This window comes from Homo sapiens, chromosome 15 (genome assembly GCF_000001405.40).
Source record: "Homo sapiens chromosome 15, GRCh38.p14 Primary Assembly".
NCBI classification, from domain to species: domain Eukaryota; kingdom Metazoa; phylum Chordata; class Mammalia; order Primates; family Hominidae; genus Homo; species Homo sapiens.
Window position 1 is genome coordinate 42,130,646 of NC_000015.10, and position 8,306 is coordinate 42,138,951.

Sequence of the window (8,306 nt, forward strand, 5' to 3'; positions counted from 1 at the left end):
CTCCATGCCTCAGACCCCCCAGTGAGCAGGTTCCAGAACAGTCCTGGACGCCCAGGCTGCTCCCTAGCTGCTCTTTTGCCCACCTACCCCATTCCTGCAGCCTTGAGCTCCTCCAGCCTATAGTAGGGCACTTCCATCTGCTAATGGATAAAGTCCTCTGGGACACCTAGCAGGAAACACTAGAAGCTCAGGATGACACAGGCTGTGGTGGCAAATCCCTGGCTGTAACGGCACTCAATGAAAGGCAATCTCTACCCCTGGGGCCCCAAATGCCTCTCATTTCCAATTCCCCAGGGTCAGCTGGTTCCCACAGCAAGCCTCCTCTGAGAGCTCCAGTCGGGAACTGCTTGTCTAGACCCAGCTCAGGTCTAGATGCCCAAGGTCAAGACTTCAGTAGCCAGGTTCAGTCTGGGAAATAAGATGAGAAACCCAGGATAGTGACCCTGGTGACATGTAGGCCCCCTCTGTAGCCAGGATATGGGACCCCAAGGGAGACTTGAGAAGGCAGCCTGCCTGCAACAGCTCTCACTCAGAGGAAGACACAGATCAGGAGCAGGGGCAATGAGGAGGCACCAAAGCCTGGATCAACAGCGGGCTTCTACTAAGTGTGAACCCTGCAGGTGCATCTGGGGAGCCTCTTGTCAGTGTGGTGAGGACAGAGAAGGGGGTTTGTATGAAGTGTGTAGCCTTGTAGCTGTTGATCATAGCAAGTGATCCAAAAATGTATGGCTGAGGATGGGCTGGCAGTCCCTTAAGCCTGTACTTCCCACCTGTTTCCATGTGAAGGCACTCCTGGAAAGTGAAGGCATCGATGTGGTACACTGGGGTAAACATACAAGTCTGCAGGTGGTTGGAGAATGACAGCAAGGCTCCTGTCTTCGGTTTGTGCTGCTCTAATAGAACACTGTAGCCTGGGTGATTTATACAGAACAGAAATGTATTTCTCAAGGTGTCAGTGGGTTGCGTGGTGAGGGCTGCTGTCTGCTTCCCATGTGGCATCCTATGGCTTTATCCTCCAGAAGGAAGAACACTGTGTCCTCACTTGGCAGATGGGTCAGAAAGGGCAAACTTGCCTCCTGAATCCCTTCTGTAAGATCACTAATCCCCATTCATGAGGGTGGAGGCCTCATGGTCTAATCACCTCTCAAAGTCCCCATCTGTTAATACTGTTGCACTGGGAACTAACTTTCAACATGAATTTTGGAGGGGACATCATGTTTCAAATCACAGCAGATTCTAACAGCCCAGGCCCTTCCAGCCACCTTGGGGGCTGAGGAGCTTGGCATCTCCCATTCAGGAATATGAGAGTACAGCTCTGGGCTTCAGGCCCCTCCTACCCTGACTCTGGCTCTACTCCAAGCCCAGCTCTTAACAAAGATACCTACTCCCTGGGTGGTGGCAGCAGCAGTCACACAGGATGGGAGCTTGAATCTCCCGATCTCAGCAAGGCAGGGATCTATGAAGGCATCCAGGCTCTACCCTCTGGGTGGCTCCACACCGAGTGCTTTTCCCTCAGCTCTTTGAGGCCAGCCAGCACCACCAGGAGCCCCTGGCACAGCTCACAAAAGAAAAAGCAAAGGCCAGGCATGCACACGGGGAAACACAAAAGTAGACACCTCCCCCCAGGCCAGCAGATGAGGGAGGGAGATGAGGCAGATCCATGGGCAAAGATGAGGAGCCAGTCCTGTGAAATGTCCCAGAAGGCCGGGTCCTACCCCTGGCCTAGGTGAGGGTTAAGACCAGAGGACTGGTCACTCTGGCCACCACCACCCCAACCCCCACCAGTGTGGCAGCAATAAGGCCAGGTCTGAGCCAAGCTGCTCTGAATACACCTGGCAGAAAGTGGGGAGTAATGAGGACTGAGTCACTTAGGAACAGCCAAGAGGCCACTCCTGGGCAGCTTAGCGCAATCAGCACCCTGTGTGAAATAATAACCACTTCTACTGAGGACTCCCAGTGTGCCGGCCACTGTGCTTACCACGCTCCACATCTTATTTCAGTTCACCTTCACGGCAACCCGTGAGCAGGTCCCTGAGAGACTTAGGGAGCCCTGGCAGCTCTCAGGTTACAAAGCTCCTTATCCTTGCACATGTCAGGTCCAATTAGTCCACCCTCTGATTCAGCTGGTGAAGAGGAAGAGTGGATGTCAGCACAGATTGATGGTGCATTTGGGGATTGAAAAATACCTGAGTAATCGGCTAGGTGCAGTGGCTCACGCCTGTAATCCCAGCACTTTGGGGGGCCAAGGTGGCCGGATCACCTGAGGTCAGGAGTTCAAGACCAGCCTGGCCAACATGGTGAAACCCCGTCTCTACTAAAAATACAAAAATTAGCAGGGTGTGGTGGCATGTGCGTGTAATCCTGGCTACTTGGGAGACTGAGGCAGGAGAAATCACTTGAACCCAGGGGGGCAGAGCTTGCAGTGAGCGGAGATCGCACCACTGCACTCCAGCCTGGGTAACAGAGTGAGACTCCGTCTCAAAAAAAGAAAAAAAATACATGAGTAATCAAAAAACTCAAATATTAATAGAATAAAATGTATAAAACAATTCATGCCTAAAATTTCTTCATTGTTTCAGATGTAGAATAGTTAATTTAACTTAAATCATTTCTTAAAAAGACAAATTCAGAAAATTTACTGTGTAATTGAAAATAATTTTTTTAAAATGTTGAGGGTGATCTTAGCCTGTTCTCTGTCTTTCATCTTGAAACACAACTTTTCCTTTGTAACATTTTACTCATCCCCATCTTAGTTAGTTTGTGTTGCTATGAAAGGATACCTGAAGTTGGGTAATTTATAAAGAAAACAGGTTCATTTGGCTCATGGCTCTTCAAGGCAGGCTGTTCAAAGAGCATGGTGCCAGCATCTGCGTCTGCTTCTGGTGAGGGCCTCAGACGGCTTCCACTCGTGGCAGAGGGCAAGGGGAGCCTTTGTGTGCAGAGATCACAGAGTGAGAGAGAAAGCAAGAGATGGGGGAGGTGCCAGGCTCTTTTTAACAACCAGCTCTTGGAGGAACTAATAGAGTGGGAACTCACCCAGCCCCCAAGAAAGAGGGCAATAACCTATTCTTGAGGGATCTGGTCCCATAACCGAACACTTCCCATTAGGACCCATCTTCAACACTGGGGATTAAATTTCAATATGAGGTTTGGAGGACCCCCTATACCAAGCCCGTCATATTAATAATAGAAAAGATAAAAACATAGGTTAATAAATTAATAACCCATGATTCAAAGCAAGAAAGAGAACTCTTCATGAGTCAGAAACGCAGAGGCAGCCCTGAATGAAGGAGGTAAACGGGCAGCCCAATGGAACACACTGGCACGCTACCCGGCCCTCCATGCCAAGGCTGCTACTGTTACCCAGGGGCTGCAGCATCCCTTCAAGGCTGTGTGAGTCCCCCAGCAGCATAGCTTCAGCCTCCCCAGCCCCAAGTCCCACACTGCCACCTGCAGGCCAGCCATCATTACCACGGCATGGCCAAGGACACGCAGCCAGGAGCCATCACAGCCCAGGGCATGCAAGGAACTCTCTCAGAGATGAGGTTACAACCAACAGTCACCAAATACATAAAGAAGGCAGCATCCATGAAAGAGAGGCAACAAAGAACCTACCCCCAAGGAATCCAGTCACAGAACAATCAGAAAAACGTGTTAAAATACATACGCTAACATCATCACAGTGAAAGGAGTGAAGCCTATTCAGGAAATGAAAACACGTAGTTTTGGAAAAGATCCGCTTAGAGAACTTAAAATGAAAAATGTGATAGTCAAGTTAAACAGAAACCCCAAAAGATGAATCCAGGAGCGGACTGGACACAGAAGATTGTGTTCATGATCTGGAAAATCATGCTAAGAAAATCCCCCGGAATACAGCACAATGAAAAGATAGAATGCATAAGAGGAAAGTTTAGGGATACACAGCGTTGATTCAGATATTCCTACATCCAGTTAATATGAATTCCAGAAAGGGAGGATGAACAGCAGTTGTGATAAAATTGACAGGTAATTTCTTAGAGCTTCAAAAAGACATACATCCAGAAGTTGAAAGAGCTCACTGATAATTTTTTACCTTTACACTTTAGAAAAATCAAAATTAAACTTTTTGATTTTATTATTTTTTTTTGAGACAGAGTTTTGCTCTGTCACCCAGGCTGGAGTGCAGTGATGCAATCGTGGCTCACTGCAGCCTCGAACTCCTTCTGGGCTCAAGCAGTTCTCTTGCCTCAGCCTCCCAAATAGCTGGAACTAAGGTGTGCACCATCATGCTTAGCTAATTTTTTATAGAGATGAAGTCTTGCTTTGTTGACCAGGTTTGTCTTTAACTCCTGGCTTCAAGTGATCCTCCTGCCTGGCTTCCCAAAGTGTTGGGATTACAGATGCGAGCCATAGAGCCTGGCCAAAGTTAAACTTTAAAAATCAAAGACAGGCCGGGTATGGTGACTCACACCTGTAATCCTATCACTTTGTAAGGCCGAGGTCAGAGGATTGTTTGAGCCCAGGAGTTGGACACCAGCCTGAGCAACATAGGGAGACCCCGTCTCTACAAAATTAAAAATAAAAATAAAAATAGCCAGGAATGGTGGCACATGCCTGTGGGCCCAGCTTCTTGGGAGGCTGAGGTGGGAGGATCGCTTGAGCTTAGGAGGTTGAGGCTGCAGTGAGCCATCATCTGCCACTGTACTCCAGCCTGGGTGACAGAGTGAGACCTCATTTCAGAAAACAATAAATAAATAAAATAAAAGACAAAGTCCTAAAAGTTACAGACAAATGACCTGCAATGGGGACTCCAGCTGCCATCAGATTGCATATCAGCAATATCAAATGCAAGAAGGCATTAACATCTGAGCATATGCAAGCATGAACCAAGAATTCTATACTCTTCCAGGCTATTACTCATAAGTCAGGGCAAGAAAAGAGAATTCTAGACATATAAGCAGTCAGAATATTTACCATCCACACACCCTTCATTAAATATTCAATTTTGCACTCCACTAAAAAGAAAAGCAAACGCAAAAGAAAGAAAGGAGTTACAAGAAGCAATGACAAGCAACTAAATCAAGAAACTATATTGTAAAGTGGAAATAAAAATTTCTATTTTGCAGTTTTTAATACACTGGAAATAAGATTCCAGGTGATTAGTAGAATGTTTGGGTGGTTGGGGAGCGGCACATAGGGCAGGAAACAGGAAGCTACAAGCATGCCAGGATGCTTGTCTTGTTTGGGGAGAGACAATAGAGACTGGTGGACTTTTTAATGGGACTTTAAAAAAATAAAAGTTTAGGCTGGGTGTGGTGGCTCATGCCTGTAATCCCAGCACTTTGGGAGGCAGAGGTGGGTGCATCACTTGAGGTCAGGAGTTCAAGACCAGCCTGGCCAACATGGTGAAACCTGTCTCTATTAAAAATACGAAAATTAGCCAGGCATGGTGGTACACACCTGTAGTCCCAGCTACTCGGGAGGCTGAGGCAGAAGAATCGCTTGAATGCGGGAGGCAGAGGTTGCAGTGAGGAAAGATCATGCCACTGCATTCCAGCCTGGGCGACAGAGTGAGACTGTCTCTGAATGAATGCATGAATGAATGAATGTTTAAGTAAGAAGACTTTTTTTTTTTCGGAGACAGAGTCTCGCTCTGTCACCCAGGCTGGAGTGCAGTGGCGCGATCTCAGCTCACCGCAAGATCTGTCTCCATGGTTCACGCCATTCTCCTGGCTCAGCCTCCTGAGTAGCTGGGACTACAGGCGCCCACGACCACGCCTGGCTAATTTTTTGTATTTTTAGTAGAGACGGGGTTTCAGTGTGTTAGCCAGGGTGGTCTCGATCTCCTGACCTCGTGATCCACCCGCCTCGGCCTCCCAAAGTGCTGGGATTACAGGCGTGAGCCACCGCACCTGGCCGTAAGAAGACTTTTAATGAAGCTAAATTTGGAAATAAACCAAATTTCCATCAGCAGGGGAATGGATAAACATTGTGGGATATCTACATACATCCTAGTGAGTTATACTAAGGAAAGAACTACAGACACAGCAACAGGGATGACTCGCAAACGCAAAACGTGTTGAGTGAGAGAAGCTGGACACAATGAGTCAAAAAGTCAACGAATTGTAAGTCAAAAAAATTTTAAGTGGTTCAAGGTAATAATTTTTCGACTATACCATTCCATTTGTATGAAACTCTGGAAAAGACAAATCCATTGTGGGAGAAAGCCGATCAGTAGTCACCTGGGGCCAGGAGTGGGGAAACTGACTGGGACGGAACGCAAGATAACATTTTGGGTGATGGAAATGTTCCATATCGTGACTGTGGTGGTAGTTACACATGTATATAAATCAGAATTCATTGAACTGTGCACTTACTCTCTTGTACACTTACTGTACACTTAGAATGTGTGCTATTGCATATAAATGATACGTCAATGAAATTGACAAGAGGAACCACCAGAATGGTGGAAATAGGATGCATAACATTCAAACCAGCAGAGGGGAAAAGAAAAAAATCAAACCAGAAAGCAGGAAGGCGGGGGAGAAAGACGAAGCATGGCAAACAGAAAACAAGTGTGTCTCAAGCCCCAGGACTTGCTTTGAAACCCAGCGATGGTAAAATAAATGGAGAGGTTGGGGTGGGGAGTGAAAGGAGACCTGGGGCATGGCACAGTGTTTCCTGGTACCCAAGATGGAACTGAAAATCTATAGGCCCTTAGAGGACTTAAGGTGCCTCCAGGAAATTCTGGCAGTGTTCAGGGACCCGAAGAGAGGACAGGAGGACAAGGACAGCAGAAGCGCTGAGGCCAGAGGGAGGAAGGAAAAGCAAGAAGGGGCTTCAACGGTACCAACCCGAACTAGACGATGCACAAGCAAGGGCCACCTGGACCCTCCTGTGGAAGCCTCAGCCACCATGGTCCAGAGGAGCCCAGTGGGGGTGGTGGGATGACAAAGATGCCCCGCAGTAGACCAAGCAGAGCCAGGGCAGGCATCAGGCATTTAAAGCTCCCCAGGTGAATTCAAGGTGCAACCCAGGTGAGATCCATCACTCTGGGGTCAAAGGATAAAGAGCCACGAGGACTTGTGAATGCCAGCAAATCAGCCAGAGCCTCTCTCAAGAGCACCTGCCTGCCTCTCCCCACCCGGGTGGCCCCCCTTCTGGGTAGCTCCCCATCCCTTCTCTTCCTTACTCATATTTTCCTCCCCTTTGTCTTTTCCTCTTTCTCCAACTTCGCCTCCTTTTACCACTTACTTTGCCAAAGCTCGCCACCTAGTGTTGGTAGACTTTTAAAACAGTGGCCTTTATTACATATTTATCCAGATGGTCCCCAACTGAATGGTTTGACTTACAGTTTTTTGACTTTCCAATGGGTTGAGATGTAACCTCATTGTAAGTCGAAAAGCAACTGTACATCTTTTTCAAAACCAAGACCTAAATCTTACTAAAGTAACTGGCTTTTTAACATAGTGAGTCATTCACCGCTTAATATTTCCTGTGCCTCAGCTTTCCTAATAGGAAAAAAAAATCAGTCCCCAGCCCTGACCTCTAGTGGTTAACAGCCTCCCTGACTCCCAGGACAGCCCCCTACAGACCCCTGTCCTTCATGGAGAAAATTCCAGGACTCCTTGCCCCGTTTGTTGGGTGTCCCTGTGGAGTTTTACAGGACAGAGGTGCTAGGGAAAGATAGATTCCTGCAGGGTATGCAGTGTGCCCTGCTTTTCTCCTCTGCAAGAATGGTTTCATCTGAAATGAAGGAAATTTCATTTAAAGCCTCAGCTGATTACCACCACCAACTGAGCAATGTTAGCTGCATGGCCTGGGCTCAGAGAAGGCGGGGGTTACCCATGCCCACCAGCCACCTGCCAGTACCTGAGGCCCTTCTCCCAGTGCTGCACCATCCAAGGAATGGAAAGGATACTTGCTCTTCGATTTTCTGCAGGAGATTCTTGTGAATGCCGAGCTGCATCGAAGGAACCAGGGGGCCTGATATTTGAACCAGCCTCTGTCCTCATACTCAGTTGAGGCTGTGCTCCCAGGGCTGCTAGGTCACACAACTCCAAGAGACAAATTCACACCATCAGTTCATGTGAACAGGATCCCCTGAAGTTGTGCAGTGCACAACCTGTGCAGCCCTATGTGACAGGCTTGTGGCCCCCTTTTTCTCTCATGAGGGGCTCTGACAAGCTGATGAATGATGCCCCTGCTCCTGTGTTTCTACCCAGCTTCAAGGGAAACCATGCTTGTTCTTCTGGACAAATCCCTCCAACTCTGTCACCTTCAGGACCTTGAAGCTTATTTCCAGCCATCTCAGACAAGAGTTGGAA